Raw genomic sequence first — 16,237 nt, 5'->3', positions numbered from 1 at the left:
AAGTCTTTTGGGGAACAGGTTAAAGCTTTTATTTTCAGGTTACAGTTTTTGATGCCCCTTTCTGCTACTCCACGGGGTACTTCAATCATCCGCTTCCGCACATCTCTTGACTCATTTGGCAGAAGAGCCCCCACGGGAACCCTTCGGCTTCTTTTCTGACACCTCACGTACTTGCAGCCTGAAGGCCCCGCAGGCGACAGCGGTAATGGATGTTTGGTGGAACCCTCCCTGGGCCCACACTCCGCCCCTCCCCAGCAGGCCGGGCAACAATTCCCAGGGCCCACCGAGGGGTGCTTAGCTCGGAGGAGGGGGAGTGACGTCACAGCGATGTTCAAAACAAGGCCTCCCCTGGCCCCACCATAGAAAAGCACCAGGAAGGGGAATGTGGCGAGCACTCCAGGAAATGCTCGGATTGGGGACCAGGTGACACTGTAGGAATGTGTGTGCTGGGGGATGGGATGGTGTCCTAAATATGGGTCACCAGGAGCCAGAAGGAGCTCTCTTTTTTCTTTTTCTTTTTCAAGTAAAGCAGAGGAGGTGGAGATTGGGATGGGGGCAGTCCGGAAAAATCACTCCCTAGGGGTGTGAGCTTAGCTCGTGTTGTGCGGATTGTCCCCGTCACAGCCCAATCACCTCTGTGGTGTGCCTAGACGCCCTCTCCCTTACCTCCCCGCTTTCTGGCTTCTCCATCCTCTGGGCTCTGGGTTCAGCCCTGAAAGCCGAACTGTGGGCTGCAGTGGGGAGGCGAGGGCAGGTAGAAACCAGCTTCAGGGGGGGCTCCACCTGGCCCAGGAGCTGGGGGACAACAGAAAAGGCAGGCTTAGGGCATGAGGGAAGGCGCTTCTCCTGCTGCACTGGGGCAGTGATTCCTGGGGGCTCTGCACACACAGGAGGGAGGCTGCAAGTCCACAGCTGCTTTAGCATCTTTCCCTTTGCTGGGGCAGACAGAGTGGAAGATTAAGGCAATTAACCCCAGAGGGCCACTAGAAAACTGTCCACTAGGCTGCCATCACAGACCACTGGAGCAAGGTCCGCTTGGGGATGTCTTTGAGCTTTTTAGATTACTTAGATAATTGTCTTAGTTCTCCATTCGGCCTCCTTTGCTTAGACCAGAATCCCAGGGGTAGGGGAGGATATCCTTGCATCAATGCCCGGCATTCGTTTTCAAACCACCAGGCCGGCAGGCAACGTTAGTCATCGGTGCGACTTTTCAGCGGAGGAAGGAGTGGGGACCGAACATCTGGGTGGCCGCGACCTTGGGCAGATACTCCTTAGCTGGGGGATTTTCAAGTAGAGGATTTGTCAGCACAGTCCCTCCAATTCAGCCCCGTCCTTAGTAGAAAAATTTCTACAATAAACGAAAAGAGCGTTTGGTTTTCGATTGTTTTAAAGACAAAGTGATCCATATTGCCTGTCTACATGGTTGGATTAATCCGATAGTTGCCCTCCTGGGGGCAGACCTCCACGGGAAGTTTGTGTGATGGGATAATTTAATGTCATCTAAGTCCCCTGGAGGGGCGGTTCCCCTAACTACTCACCCAGGAGAAAGCCAGCCAACACCTACCTGATCGTTCCCGCCTCGGGATGGCCCACCTATCGCCCCTTGGCAGGAAAGCCCCCGCCTCGAAGGGCGTTTCGGGGGCTCAGAGCCGAGCTAAGCTGCAAGAGGGGGCCATGGGGAATGCGGGAAGTGAATCTTTAACTTTGGTGCCCGGCTTCAAAAGACTCAGGGCTTCTTGTGTTCAGGCAGAGGTAAATGGAGATTCAAACTGTCGTCTTGCATTAACAATCCGGAATAAAAATAAAATTCGTAAAGGGATAGATGATCGGAAAGAACAAATGGTGCATGTGTGCGCGAACGAGCCCCAGTTTCTCTCCATCCAGGTCCCCAGCGGACTCAGAGCGGCCGCCGCACTCCACGGCCTGGGAGGACAGAGGCCCCGCAGCCTCCCAACCTCGGCTCATGTGGGGGGCGCGCCGCGCAGGGTGGGCGAGTCCCCAGGCCCCAGAGTCTGCCGGAGCCAGGGTGCGCGGTGCGGCGGGAGCCGGCCGTCGGAGGACTGCAGGGCGAAAGCGCCTTCCTGGGGCTGGAGCAGAAGGCGTGTGCCCCTGCACGGACGCGCCTTGGCTGTGGGTGTGGGAAGAAAGGCTTTGCCCCGTGAGACAGACCCACAGACAGCCCCGGAGCCGCCGGCGGGGTGAGGTGGGCTGCAACCTTGCAGGTGGCTGGCTGTTCCCAGGTCTCCGGCCCGGCGCCGCAGCGGACCCAGGCGCCGGGGCCGCAGCCAGCCTTCCTTCCGAGTGCTCCCTTCGCGGAACCCTGCGCCCTGGGACCTTCCTTCCGACGTCCCTCACCCCGGCCGGGGAGTGGCACCAACGCGGACGCACCGCCGGGCCTCCTGCGGGTAAGGCGCGGTCGGCCCCCAGCTCTGAGCCTTCTGGGCAGGAGCCCCGGGGGCCTGGGCCGGGGCCGGTGTTTGCACCTCTCAGGACAGGGACAAGGCCGACACCCGGCTCGGTGCAGCCGGCCTCCCCCGAGGACCTGAGGGCCGACGCCTCCGGGAACCGCTGGTCCTCGCGAGTGGGTCGGCGCCTGGCAGCGCGCGCCGGTGACCTGGTGGTCCGTCTGCTCCCAGGCCGCCCCTCACAGGCTTCCCGCCGCTTCCCCGCGAGCGTCAGCAGAAAAAGGGACGATGTGGAAGCCCGGAGGCCCCTTGGCCGACCCAGGCTGGGGCTCTCAGGCTGGGGGCACCTCACCCCGGCAGGTCCCGCGCCTCGGGAACCCGGGGCCAGGCAGCCGTCCTGGGCGCCCGCACCGCGCACTGCGCGTGCTACGAGCGCCCCCTGCCGTCGGAGGCGTTGTCTCCGCGGCGCCTCTGCCCGCGCCGGGCTCCAAGGGCCGGCTCCGCCTGTCCCCGCACAGCGTCCCCTGGGAACCGGGTCTCCAGAGAAGGAGGCCTGGGGAAGACCGCGCCGCCCGCGTGGGACCCCGCAGGGCCTGGCACCTGGTTTTCTAGGCTGCAACTCTCATCCCTCAGGGTCCGGGCGGGAACAGCCCCATCGGGGAGACCCTCTCAGACTTCCAGGCACAGACCACGGACGCTTTTGTTCCTGGAGTGGAGGGAGGTGACCCGAGACTGGGGCTTTCAGCCACCGCTACGCATTCCTTCCAGGCGGCCCTTTTAATTGACGTACACGTTACAGAAAAAGCAAGGCCGCTCCATCCAGTGAATTACATTGTGGGAGATGCCAAGGAATGTATTTACTGGCAGCCAGGTTTGCCAATAAAAGTTGCAAATAAAGACTGCTGGTTTCCAGGAAAATGTACTTCTGTTTTTTAAACACTCCTTAGTCTTAATTACCAAAAACTGAGCCTCCAAAGAACCGGTTTCGAGAACAGGACCAGTGAGTGGCGGTGCTGGCGAGGCCTCACACCCCCACGTGCAATCACACACCCCGATGTCGCCTATGGGAACAAGGACCATGCACACCTATGGCTTTGCCCACAGAGAGGCTCGCCCGTATTTACATACGCAGCAGACACAGACACAGGCGAAACGTTGGCACACAGAGAGGTATGCGCTCGGATTAGGGCTGTTTAGTTTGGAAGTGAAGAAATAAGAAAAGACAAACTATGGCAAACAGGCGAATTTCCACAGAAATAAATGTCTGCGAGGAAAGGAGGCACTTGCTCTGTAGTGTTTAGTTATGGTCGCCCTGGTAGTTCTTTTTAGTCCGACCGGGTTGACTATAAATGAAGGCAGCAGAGAAATGCAGAATTTACATTTACTAAAGGTCCGCTTTGGCTTGGGGTCACAAGGACCCCAGTGGGAATTAGAAAATCTCCCCACTCACTAGATGGAGCAGCACCTCCCCCCACAAAAAAAGGGGTTTGGGGCAGAGTGTGCACGCTAATGAGAGGCAAATTTATTCCATGTTTCTCCAATCTTAAACACGGACACTCATAACCACAATTATAAAGACTGGTAGGATGCACAGAACACTTAGTATGCGGTCATCCTGCTGTGTGCTTTAAACACTCCTTTCACCTAATCCTCACAAGGACGCTGACATGGATATTATGATCTACATCTTACACATGAGGAAACTGAGCTTAAAGAAAAGAGAGAGCTTTCCCAAGATTACACAGCCCTCGCAGTTGCACTCTGCACAGGCTCACTGGATCTAAGACGCCACTTATGATAAGGTACAGTGCTTATGAGCCACTAAGAGGGGAAAAAACTAAATTATTAAATATCATCAGTGGTAAATCTCATCTCCGTTTCAGTTGCTAAAATGAAAAAAAAAATGTGCATTTCAGATCGATGATACGTTTACTAATCCATGTAATCAACAAACACATAGAGGCCTGCTCCGTGTTTGGCTTTCTTCTAGCAGCTGGGTGTGTAACAGAGCACCCTTTGCAGACATCCATGAAGCTAAATACTAATTATTATGGGAAGGATGTTTACCCACAGCAACCGTTGAATCTATTATATATGTGTACACATACTGACTTGCACTGGTCTGGTTTATCTGCACACTTCCATACTCTTCTAGAGATGCTCACGCCAGTGCTATGAGGAGAAACTGGTATACGCGCATGCACAGAAAAATGGTATATATTTGGACACAGACATTCTGTATAAACGAATAAAGGACCTGCTGGTGAATGCATTGTTCTCTCCTCCTGGATGCTATCTGGTGGCTCCTCTCCTGCTTTTCCCTTCATTTAGTTTCCCCAAGGAAGATTCTCCAGAAAACACAGCAAATAAAGCAGAGAGGCTCTTTTCTGCCCCTGCCTCAATGGTGGGCCCGCTCTTACCCACAGCTCCAGACAGATGGGCAGGCAGGCAGGCAGGCCAGGAGCCTCAGAACACTGAGGAAGCAGGAGCAGTTCCTCTCGGACCCATGGCAGACGTCAGCCAGAGGAGGCTGGAGGAGGGATGGGCAGCAGGAGGTGGGTTTCAGGTTGTAGCTCACCTCCAGGACACCATGCCGGGGCTGTCCAGAAGTCACCAAAGTCAAGCCCTTGGCATCATAGAGAGGGAAACTGAGGCTCTCAGAAGAGAGCTGGCCCAAGATGGGGAGGGCTTCTACCCAGGACTTGCAGTCTAGTGCGGCCTTCCCCCAGCAGATGCCCAGGCTCCTCCGCCTTCAGTCCCACCAAGGCCTAGCGACTAACGCAGCTGTTGTCTTTGGCCAGGTAGGCCTTGAGGGTCAGGGTTGGGGTAGGAGCAGGGAAAAGGAGAGAGTGGGTGGCAGGGAAGATGAATGAAGGGCGGAGGGTGGCAGGGGCTTTTTCCTTTTCCAGGAATTCCTCCCTTGCCCAACACAAGCTTGGCTTGGGTCTGGACGATTGACCCAAAGGCCAACCCTTGGGGGAGAGAAGAGAACCCCGGACGCAGAGCCAGAGGAGGCCCAAGACCTCAGGCTCCGGAGGTGTTTGGCCACCAAGTGCGCGGGGCAGCAGGGGCCCTACTTTCCCGGGGTCCGGCCCGCCACAGGGGTGCCCAGGGTCTTCTCTGTGCGGTCTTCCCTCGAAGAGCCGGGGAAGCCCAGTCCTGCCGGAGTGGGGCACAGGGCACCGCGGCCCAGATTCCCCGCGGAGCGCCCGGCCCTGCCGGCCGCGGCGACAGTCTGGGGCGGTCCTGCTTCTCCTCAAGACCAGCCGATGGGTCGGGGCGCCTGGTCTCCCGGTGTCTCCCCGTCGTGCGCAGGAAGGTGCTTTTAAAGGCCGGCGGCCGGCGCGCGAGCTCGCACACCGCAGCCGCGCCGGCCTGTGTTTAGTCTGGCGCTGAGGTCCTTCCTGAGCAGATGGGAGGAGGAAGCCTTCTCCAGGCCGTTCCTGCCGTCGCCCACCCGGCCCATCCATCATTTTCTCACCTACTGGCCCCAGGACCGCGAAGTCCTCACTGAGAGCTGGGCACAAAGTCCGGGCCGGGTCACAGACCCCCGCCACCTCGCCCGCGCGTGAGAGCTTTTCCTTCTTCCTTCAGCACAAAGGCTGCCATTATTGCATGTCCCTGTGATGAAACACGCACCAGATTAGATAAGGCTGAATTGCACTTTTATAGGGTGCCAGTATCGTCCATGAGACACTCTCCTTTTATTCGTGAGAGTGTGCGCTTATAAGAATGGTTTGCTTGAGTAGTTATCACTCTCCTCAAAGAGACAACATCTACACACAGAGTGACTTCTTAGGGAAGGACTGCGGGATGCCCAGAGCGGGGGAAATTAGTTACTCGCCGAGAAAGAGCAAGTTACTAAAAGTTGCTGACCTCTGGGGCCTGGCCCAGTCAGCCAGGAGCACTGTTTTGCTTTTGTGTGTGGCAATTCCGCATGGTGCCCGGTGCCATCCCAAGAAACGCACCCTAGGAGTTTTCATTGTTTGCCTTTGTGAGCATTTGCTATCAAAGATGCGGTGTTAGGCGTATTTGTTTTAGTAAGGAACGCATCCAGAGGCGGGCAGACGTGTCACTGGGAGAATGTTTTGGCAGGAGCGGGGCAGGGGTTTTACATAATAGGAAAACAGATGCAGCTCCACCCTTCGAACATCAAGGCAAACACATCCACGCATTTTGTTTAATATCAGTCACATTGTCTACTGTCTGCTGGAAGTAGGTTAATTTTCTAGTAAACACCACTCTTACTGCTGCCAACTGTTTTTTTCTGGAATGGGCTCAGACTCACCCAGGTCCTCCTGCTTTGTTCATTTCAGGTTGTCTTTGGATATTTTAAAAGAGCTAATGCATGACAATAATATTTCCATATATATATGGAAATACATATATGTGTGTGTGTGTGTGTATATATATATAGAGAGAGAGAGAGAGAGAGTGTGTGTGTGTGTGTGTGTGTGTGTGTGTGTGTCTTAGTGACCCAGGCTGGAGTGTAGTGGAGGGATCCTTTTGCTTCTAAACAAAGCTTGAGAAAACTATACCTCGTATTTCTCTTTCTCCTTAGTTGGGCAAATTTTGCATTTCCCTTGATTATGCATTAAATGGAGTAAAATCAGTTTTTCTAATTCTTTTTTTTTCTTCTTGCTTGTTTGTACATCAGCTTTCCTGATGATATCTCTATAGCTCTGCCGATTTCAAGGAGATTCAATTATCAGATGGTGTTGACAGTCTGCTGTAAATCTCATAAAAGGAGAGTTGGGCTTTATTTTCTGGCTGTGCCAGACATTTTCCAATTAAGCATTTAGAACCTAGAAGGCATCCCCGACTAGATCAGAGTAATATGAAATACAGGTCAAGTGCTGGATTCAAAGTCCTTAGCAATGTCCCTTTAAAAACAAATTTCTCTGATATGCCCAGATCTGGGTTTCCAATATTAGCATAACTTTCAGTTTTATCCACCAGGCAAACAAATGTTGTGTCTACATTTGGGGCAAAAAGAAAATGATGGATGCATAATTTCTTTCTCTTAGGAAGAGTTTCTGGAATTTTGAGGGTTCACTCTGGTGTGTCCCTGGATGGCCTCAATTCATCTTCCCCCAGGTGACCAATTGCTGGCCATTTAATATGCATTATTTTTAAAGTTTGACATTAGGTGGATGTGGAGGGATAGAAGACAGAATGGGGGTGGCATCAGAAAAGAGATCAGAGTCCAGAACTGTGAAGAAAGAGTGTGATGGGCCTTTTACTGCGACGACCTTCTCTGAGGAAGCACGAGGACTGTGGTGCAAATTCCCTCATATTTGGAAGGGCTCATTGATGACCATAGGGAGCAAACTGTGTGACAGGGAGAGACGTCGCAGGGAAGCTCCCCTTCCCCTGTTTGGTGATGCCTCTGAAACCCCCGGGATGGCCATGCACAGAGCGTCCCTTGGCGTCTGCTGGCTGGATTGCGGACCTTCTGGCTGCAGCTTGAGACGCCTTCTGTCCTTTCTGTTTTAAAAGATACAGGACCTCTCTGAAACTTCGGTGCTGATTGCTTTGACGTAATCGTTTCCTTCATTAGAGACCCTGGGCCCTGGGGAGGAGAAGGGACAGAGGGAGGAGGTGGCGTAGAGAAGGCCCCTCTGGTGAAGACAGCAGGGGAAACCCGCACCCACTGGCATCCAGAACTTGGAGGGGGGCAGGGGGCGGTCCCAGGATTTGAGCTTCTCAGCCAGCTCCTCCGTTCTAGGGGCAGCCGCTTCCTTTCCTCAGGTGCAGAGGAGACTGGGCTGGCTGGGCCTCTCCAGGCCTCCGCAGGTGGGTCCCGGGGCGCAGGCACACGGAGCACTTTAGTGCACACGGGCAGGAAACTTCTGGACCTTCCTATCGCAGCCACCCAAGGGCGGATAAAGCAGGTGCGGAGGCCGGCCTGGGGAGCAGAGGCTGCCTGGCCGCTGGCGGGTCTCCGGCGGAGGAGGCACTCAGGTGTGGGGCCAGCGCTGGGGCTCGCTTCTCTGCGGGAGCGTGGGTGTCGAGTGTGCGTGTTCACCCTGAATATTTTCCATCTCTGTGCGGAGCTCTATGTCTGCCCGGTCCAATTTCTGCCCACATTCCGTAAACGCCGTGAAAGGCCATTTTTCTTTCTGAAGCAAATCCAAAATAATACACACGATGAAGTGCAGGCAGGATGCCTGTGGAAAAAAGAACTTCTCCAATTATTTCAATGGAACGAAATAGCTGGGCTCTCCAAGCAAAATCTGACTGAGAAATCTGACCTTCCTCCATTGAAGGCCGAGGAGGTCCGGGGGACACAGCCTGGTCACCAGCAGCCACAGGTTAGACCAGGCAGTGCAAGGCCCCGCCGGCCCATCAGGCCCAGGGGCACGACGGGCTTAGCTGTGCCTCAGTTTATTTTTTCTCAAAGGAATGAATCATATCTATCTCTTATAACTTAGACGTTTGAGCTGTCTTTTAAGAGGGGTTTTAGTGAGATGATTCAATGGAGAACCTTCGGAATGCCTTTGAGAAAAACTGTAAATACAGGAAATTAAAACACGAGGATAAACCGCAAGTGAGAGAGTGTGGTGGGGCTCTGAAGTTATGGTTCTGTCGCGAGAGTCGAAGGGTCCCCATGCTGCCGGGAGCCGTGTGTTCGCGTCTCACTCTGCTAAGGAAAGAAGCCGCAGACAGAGGCGGGCAGCATGGCTGGGAGAGGCTCAGATGCCTGCAGGGCCAAGGAAGTCTTCCCCTCAGAGCACCTGCCTGTGCCTCTCCCCCATCATAGTTTGTGTATAAGCCGTCTCAATGAGCTTCAGAAAAAATTGCATCATAGTTTGAAACAAAGGGAGCTATGAAGTCTAGGAAAAGTCATCCTTTATATGTCGCAACAGATATTTAGATTTGTAAATATGCATAAATGACTAACATGCATATCATACTAGTTTACTCCAGTGTGAGTTCGATGTTAAACACAAGTGAGGCTTTCAACAGTGAAATATTTTAAGCCAACTAGATGTCCACTACTAAAAACATCAACTTAATGGGATCACACCAAAAAAGAAGAATGAGGACTTTGCAAAGCCTGGAATGGCGAGCTGCAGATGGATTCATTTGGATGGAGAATGTTAAAGAAAATGCAAAATAAAAATGATGGCCGAGGTCAGGGGGTGATGCTTGTATGATTGTGTAGGTTTTAAAATTACACAGTGGGAAAACAGAATTTGGAAAAACACTGTTTGCCATTTGAGAGCTCAGAACACATCCAGAGAAGCCTCTGAGAAATCCCCACCAATAAGCATGGGACCAGCGGTGGGACAGGCAGAGAGCCTCACAGAAGGCGTGGGAAGAGAAGGAAGCTGAGCTGGTGGGGGAAGGAGACGTGTAAATGGCCCGAAGTAATTTGGTGAGAGGAAGAGATAAACAAGGGGCCTAAAGCCCTGGGAAGCCAGAGAAGGAAAGCCTCCGTGACTCCCAACACCATGGCTTCAAGTGTCACACAAAGCCCCTTATCTCCCTCTGGTCTGATGTTATCGCACCTTTAAATGGTAAATCATTTATATAACATTTGCTGATTCACAAAATGAAGGCACTGAGAATTAACATGAGGATGGGGGGGATAGTTAGGGGCACAGTCTTCGGGAGTGTGGATTTCCCTTGTCACCTGGCATAATCTTATCTCTGGGGCTTATCGTGGGGAGGTGCAGAGGCAGGGAAGGGGCCAGAACTGGAGCTGGGGGGAGGGGGCTGGTAAGGAGGGTTGAGGGCTGTTCTTTTGTTTTTTCTGGGCTGGTTGTGTGTGTGTGTGTGTCCCTGTGAGCCTCCAGGGCAAATGACTCTGGCTTTCCCAGGGGGAGAATTTTCATGAAGCCTTGTCTCTTGGCAAGTTGACTATTGGAACTTCACTCTGCACATTGTAACAGGGGGAGGAGGAGCCTGGGATCTTAGGTGATGTCTTAAACAGAAGAGAGGCTCTGAGAATAGGAAAGAGTGAGAGGAACCAAGAAGTTCCCCATGTTCAACTCCAGCCAAGATGAGCTTTCTTGTCCATCAGCGTCTACAGAAAAGAAATTGCTTTTAAAAATCCGTTATTTACTAGCCTGTTTCAGACATGCTGGATGCGATCAGTGGCATTTTATTTGGGGCTACAAATTAAAGAGAGCTTCCATCTTTTGTACTTATTTGTTGCAAACTTAGTTGCTATGGGTTTAATGCATGGTGTTCTCTTATGATTCCAAATAAGCTAGAATTGGACCTTGTTTTTTGTGTTTGTTTGTTTGGATTATTTACCAATTTAACAGTGGGGCATTGTATACCAACTTCAGTGACTCTAAAGTTAGTAAGTTCTGATAACCCACTGCCAATGGGCCTTGGTTTTCAAGACTGGAACCGGTGGCTTTAGTTATTTCTCAACTTCATAAGAAAGTATTGGCAAATTATTTCCCACCCGCGCCCCCTCCCCTCCTTTTGTTTTCGGTTTCCCCAGCAGGAATCCAGTCTGAGTTGAGGCGCCGGTGGGCAGGGACCGTGATGGAGCTCTGATGCCATCTAGTGGCAACCCGGAGAAGCGCACTTAGATGCCTCGCCTCGGCTGGAGTGAAAGCCCAGGCGGTTTCGCACCAGCAAGGTGGTGAGATGTGTTTGCCAGGTGAAGTCCTTGAGCCTTAGGACAAAGCATTTGCAAGCCAAGGACCTTCCTACCACATTTGGAGTGGAAATACACCGCAAGGGCTTTACGGCTGGGTCCGTAGCGTGACTCCAGCTCATGAGGGAGAGAGAGCAGCTGAACGTCACTGTGGGAAACCGGGGTGTGCTTCGGTGGGCCTGTTCCCCTACCGCGGGCCAAAAAGCCCTCGATGAACTTCGTTTTCCTTGCTTTCTGCTCGGTTCTCTCCAGCTTCAAATCCAAATGTACCCAGAGGCAACGGAGGCCCAGAAAAGCTGAAGATGTGTGTGCAGCACACGGCTCTGCTGAAAGGGCTGAGGGCTGTGCTTGGCCAGCGTGGCTCACATTATCTCCAAAATTAATATTGACCCCGTTGTTACCCCTCCTCAAAGAAGACCCCCTAAACCAAGCTGTTCTTTTGGTGCTCCACGGTAAACTTGGGTAGTGGAGGCGGGGAGAGAAGAGGGTGGGAAGGCGGAGGAGGGCCAGGGGAGGTGCAAGCCCCCCGTGGTTTGCAAAGTGCAGGCTGGCACCCGCGGAGGGAGGTGGGAAGGAGAGCCCCGAGGAGCAATCTCAGGCCCAGTGATTTCAGGGAAGAGTGTGTGCAGAAGTTAGGGAGCTAGGAGCTGAGTTTCCTAAAGCGATCCACACCTAGGCAGCTGCTGGAGAGTCTGTGTGAGGCACGTGGCCCCCAGGGTCCAGATGCTCACTGAGAGAAGAAGGGGCCATGACCACCTCACCCTACTCAGTGCTGCGCTTCTGAACTGGAAGTAGACCCGGGGTGCCCGGACCCGCTGTAGGGGAGGCAGACGCCCGCTGGGGTCCAGGAACAGCCGCCCACCCTGGCCTGGTGTGCCCCGGCCGGCACGGCCCCGCGGCCATCCTGAGGAGCAGCCCTGGGCTGATGGGGCCCCTGGGGATCCCCAGTCTGCTGGCAGACACTTTCCGACCATCCTGGCTGCCTTAGATGTGGGTGCGTCACCTAAAAATACAGCCTGTGGAGAGACCTCAATTGTGGTTCCCACGAGGGGGCATGATGGGTGAAATTAACTGATAAAACAAAATGTTTGTAACTGCCTCCGACGATTCCCGGGAATTACAGAAAGCTCACCTTCGTCTCTCTTAGTCATTGGTTTATTCAACACAGTATCCTCAATAAAGCAGCTAGGACTGCGCGCTATTGTGTCGCAGGCCCCCACCCCCCCGTGACAAGCTCAGCCCCTCCCTTTCCTCCTCTGCTTTGTTGTCACACGAGACACAGGTGGGGGGGACCGTGGCCTGCCTGCGCACGGCTGGAGAGCGGGAGGGCTTGCAGGGGGCGGTGAGGTTGAAGGACATTTCAGCATGGACGGCTGATGGAACGCCTAGAGAGCAGGCTGGGCTTTTGGTGCAGGGTGTTTAGGCTGTACATTTTGAATGCTAATTTCTAAGTCCTGGGCCTGCCTCAGTTGTCGCCATCGGTTATGGTGAGGGCGCTGCAGCCCACGCTGTTCCTCGCCACCACGGCTGGTGGCCAGCCACCTGTCTCACCCAGCGCCCTGCCAGGCTGGGGGCTCCTCCAGAGACCAGCTTCCATGGCGAGGTGCCTGCCCCTCCCTCCTCCCTTGGCCCGTGGCCCCCGAGGGCCCAAGTCAGCATGAAACGCCTGAATCCCGGTGGGAAAAAGGGCCTGCGAGGTGGGTCCCGGCTGGGCAGGGCCGAGACACCCTGGGTGCTGGGAGGGGCGTGGTGGGGCTGCCCGAGGCAAGAGCCGCGCAGGGATGTGGGATCCCCCGCAGTCGCTCCCTGCCCAGGTATTGCCTGACTGCAGTTACATAAAAAGCCTTTATGGGCTGGGGGGAGTGTGTAATTTGTTCTGGAAGAACATAAAGTTCATTGTTTTCCCTCAGCTGTGGTCACTCTGCTCCATCTGTGCTATAAGCGCTCACAACCTCGTCTCTTCCGCAGGCAGTTTTTTCCACGGGCTTCCATGAGGCAGGTTTTAGACGACAGAATTCTAGCCCTTTAGGAATGAAAGAGAAATCAGGGCTTTCTCTCCGTGCCACGGTGGTGAGGCGAGTATTCTATCGAAGCCCACGCTTGGCACGTTTGCTTGTCTCCCGGGCCATTGGAACCGTGTGATCCATAAGGCGCCTGAGCGCGCGTTTGGTCAGAGGGGCTCGGTCACTCGCCAGGGGAAACCCTGGGTGCGGGAGCTTCCTCTGCATTTGGGCTGCACCTTGATAGACTCAGAACCTACAGGGAAAGATGACGGCTAACTCCGCCGACCTCTCAACCGGGAGAGCCCCAGAGAGGAAGCAGATTTGTCTCCTGGACTATCGAAGTGTCCCGGTGGCAAGCTAAGCGGAAAGCTAGTAAGTGGGTGAGTCTGCCCTTGCCAGGAATTCCTCAGCCGTTTTCTGTGCCTTCGTCTGACTTTTTCTTTTTTTAGGATGGTAAAATGAAAACAGCTTATCACACACACGCACACACACGCGCACACACACGCACCTGAATTCCCCACGGAAGCTACAGGAACGTCACCGCCCTCGGCTGCCAAGCAGATTCCAGTGAGGGCAGAAAGAACACCAGTCAAGCAAGGGAGCACTTCCTTGTCCTACAACCTCATCCCAGAGTCTATTTTTGTTAAAACTCCAGAAGAAGGAAGGAAACCCTCCAGCACCCTCACATGTGTTTCTTTCCCACAGGAGAGTCTTGTCTTTTCTTTTTCCCGACCCCCCTGTCCCTTGGAGAAAGAGACCTGGGTCCTTTGCCAGTGGGTGGTGCTGCTGGGGAGAGCGAGGGGGCCCGAAGCTCCTACCTGTGACTTTCTTCCTGGGACGCAGGCTCAGAGTCTCTGTCCCTCCGAGGCCAGCTCTTCCGGACAAAGGTGGCAGGGTCTGGGGTCCCTTTGGTTGGGCAAAGAGATATGCAGAAACCCGACAGATTAGCACAGGTTCCCAAAAGCATTGGATGCGTTCATGGGGTGGGGGTAGCCTCGGCAGGGCTTCCAGAAAATTCGCTAAAGGAGGAAAAGTTCTTCCTTAGCCTCATGAAGCCTGACTTTGTGTCTGATTTTCTCACCCCCGTTGTGTGTTTGTAGAAGAAAAATCCCTGGGAATTGCCTCACTCCTCACAAACACTCCGCACAGCCTTCAACATCACCCAAGGATCTTTTCCTTAGTTCAAAGGAAAAATGTGCTCTTTCAGTCCATGAATGTACCCCTTTCTAGCCGCAGAATCATCACATCACGCACTGTGCATGCCGCACCTGGGGGCGGGGGATGATCAGAAAGCGCTTTCCTTGTAGTGTCTTTTCCACTGAATATACCTCAAAATCAGACTTACCTGGCTGCAACCTTCTGCTCATGGGCTGAGTCTAGGGGCATGCATATGCTTTTTTCAGTTGTCATGTTATTTAAGTTTTGTTTAAATCGATTAGAATGAGCCCCTGCTTTTTGTGGTCTTTCATGTTATTGATATTTTTGAAGAGTCCAGATCAGCTGTCTAGTAGAATGTGCCACCATCTGGATTTGTTAAATTATTTCCTCACAATTATATTAGGGTTAAACATTTAAAAATTATTTTAAATTCCGGGGTACACATGCATGTTTGTTACATGGGTCTGTTGTGTCATGGTGGGAACTGGGCTTCCAATGTACCCAACACCCAAATATTGAACATGGTACCCAATAGGTATTTTTGCCCCTCCCCCTCCTCTCATCCTCTCCGCTTTTGGAGTCTCCCATGTCTATTATTTCCATCTTTATGTCCACGTGTGCCCATTGTTTAGCTCCCATTCATAAGTGAGAACATAAGATATTTGATTTTCTGCTTCTTAGGGTAATGGCCCCCAGCTCCATCCATGTTGCTGCAGAGGACATGATTTCATTCTTTTCTATGGCTGCATGGGAAGAAGCTTGTATTTTATTAAAGATTAAGCAAGATCCATGTTGCTGAGGATGTTTTGTCTGTGTGTGTGTGTGTGTGTGTGTGTGTGTGTGTGTGTGTGTGTGTGTGTGGAGAGGGGTAGGTAGAGTATACCGGAAGGAAGTAGGACTGTAGATGTTGAGCTTTTTGTCCTCCAGAATTGAATGTGGGCCACGCTGGTGTTTGTGGAGTTCCATGATGGCTGAGCTGTGATGACTGATGTTGCCAGGAGCTTTGTCTGTGTGGACTCGACCCTCTGCCATGTTGCCCAGTTCTCCTTGAAGTCAGTGGAAGCTGCATGGCCTGGCCTGGCGCAGCTGCAGGTGATGCAGCCACTGTTAGGTGAGCCTGGCCTCATTCAGAAATGATCTCCAAAATTCTTTAGAGAAAAGGGGGAGACTGCTGTGTGAAAAATGTCTGCTGATGCCTGCAGACCTTCCTAAAGCTGCTTGCGATTACAGCCGTACTTTATTGTCATGATGTTTCGAATGTAGTAGATCTTGACCACAAATTAGCCGAGAAAAGAACAATATTTTAGCATGGCAGCCACCCTGCTGGGAATACTGTTTTGCATCTGGGGCATCATTTGGTTGTTTCTGTTAGGAATTGAAAAAAAAAACTGCTGAGGGTAGAATGAGAAAGAATTAGAAAGAAGACAGCGTCACACACAGGGTTGACAGACTGGCTGCAGATTGAGTGCAAATAGCACATTTACCTGCATGCCCTATCAGAAAGGGCCCGAGGAAGAATGCCTGGCAGCCGGATGACGGCTTCTGTTTTCTTCCCCAGGTTTGGCATCTCACAGCACCCAGGCTCACCCATAGTCTGTTCACTTTCTTGAAACCATCCTGTTCAACTTCTGTAAGACATTTTCTTGACAGAAACTTTGTTCATTGCTATCCAAATACAACACCTGATTCTCATGATCGCGGTAGTTACGTTCTGCAAAGTCACCACGAACACTGACTCAGCACATCATGAGCCATTGCTCCTAGGAGAAGCACAGGGTTGGGTTCCTGCAAGCCTCTGGTCACATTTTTGTCCACTGACCACTACACTTTGTTTTTGTTTGTTAGTTTTTTTTCTGTTGTTGTTTTTCTTGAGACAGGGACTCACTATGCTGCCCAGATTGTAGTGCAGTGGCACTATCATGGCTCACTACAGCCTCTGTCTCCCAAGCTCAGGTGATCCTCCCACCTCAGCCTCCCGAGTAGCTGGGACTACAGGCACACACCACCATGCCTGGCTAATAAAAAAAAAATTTTTTTCATAGAGATGATGG

At 52.8% G+C, this 16,237-nt stretch overlaps 1 long non-coding RNA gene across 1 annotated transcript, besides 8 other annotated features; it reads right to left on the bottom strand.

The window, feature by feature from the left end:
• On the bottom strand, window positions 6-1,833 carry FOXCUT (FOXC1 upstream transcript). The gene is made up of 2 exons (NR_125804.1): window positions 1,565-1,833; window positions 6-1,348 (listed from the first exon to the last, which is right to left on the bottom strand). It is a non-coding gene; the product is annotated as an FOXC1 upstream transcript (long non-coding RNA).
• Window positions 272-772: an enhancer, noted in NCBI's record as "H3K4me1 hESC enhancer chr6:1606827-1607327 (GRCh37/hg19 assembly coordinates)". NCBI's record gives its function as "activates a minimal SCP1, AML or CMV promoter by ChIP-STARR-seq in naive and primed H9 embryonic stem cells {active_cell/tissue: H9 hESC(naive and primed)}" and the evidence as "EXISTENCE:reporter gene assay evidence [ECO:0000049][PMID:30033119]".
• Window positions 773-1,273: an enhancer, noted in NCBI's record as "H3K4me1 hESC enhancer chr6:1606326-1606826 (GRCh37/hg19 assembly coordinates)". NCBI's record gives its function as "activates a minimal SCP1, AML or CMV promoter by ChIP-STARR-seq in naive H9 embryonic stem cells {active_cell/tissue: H9 hESC(naive)}" and the evidence as "EXISTENCE:reporter gene assay evidence [ECO:0000049][PMID:30033119]".
• Window positions 2,575-2,644: a silencer, noted in NCBI's record as "silent region_16823". NCBI's record gives its function as "represses an Ori minimal core promoter by ATAC-STARR-seq in GM12878 lymphoblastoid cells {active_cell/tissue: GM12878}" and the evidence as "EXISTENCE:reporter gene assay evidence [ECO:0000049][PMID:35858748]".
• Window positions 2,695-3,114: a silencer, noted in NCBI's record as "silent region_16822". NCBI's record gives its function as "represses an Ori minimal core promoter by ATAC-STARR-seq in GM12878 lymphoblastoid cells {active_cell/tissue: GM12878}" and the evidence as "EXISTENCE:reporter gene assay evidence [ECO:0000049][PMID:35858748]".
• Window positions 9,632-9,866: a silencer, noted in NCBI's record as "fragment chr6:1597733-1597967 (GRCh37/hg19 assembly coordinates)". NCBI's record gives its function as "represses an EF-1alpha promoter that drives an FKBP-Casp9 reporter gene in an ReSE screen in K562 erythroleukemia cells {active_cell/tissue: K562}" and the evidence as "EXISTENCE:reporter gene assay evidence [ECO:0000049][PMID:32094911]".
• Window positions 10,903-11,456: an enhancer, noted in NCBI's record as "H3K4me1 hESC enhancer chr6:1596143-1596696 (GRCh37/hg19 assembly coordinates)". NCBI's record gives its function as "activates a minimal SCP1, AML or CMV promoter by ChIP-STARR-seq in naive H9 embryonic stem cells {active_cell/tissue: H9 hESC(naive)}" and the evidence as "EXISTENCE:reporter gene assay evidence [ECO:0000049][PMID:30033119]".
• Window positions 10,977-11,026: an enhancer, noted in NCBI's record as "active region_23863". NCBI's record gives its function as "activates an Ori minimal core promoter by ATAC-STARR-seq in GM12878 lymphoblastoid cells {active_cell/tissue: GM12878}" and the evidence as "EXISTENCE:reporter gene assay evidence [ECO:0000049][PMID:35858748]".
• Window positions 12,661-13,178: an enhancer, noted in NCBI's record as "H3K27ac-H3K4me1 hESC enhancer chr6:1594421-1594938 (GRCh37/hg19 assembly coordinates)". NCBI's record gives its function as "activates a minimal SCP1, AML or CMV promoter by ChIP-STARR-seq in naive H9 embryonic stem cells {active_cell/tissue: H9 hESC(naive)}" and the evidence as "EXISTENCE:reporter gene assay evidence [ECO:0000049][PMID:30033119]".

This window comes from Homo sapiens, chromosome 6 (genome assembly GCF_000001405.40).
Source record: "Homo sapiens chromosome 6, GRCh38.p14 Primary Assembly".
NCBI classification, from domain to species: domain Eukaryota; kingdom Metazoa; phylum Chordata; class Mammalia; order Primates; family Hominidae; genus Homo; species Homo sapiens.
This window is presented reverse-complemented; position numbering and strand designations above follow the sequence as displayed.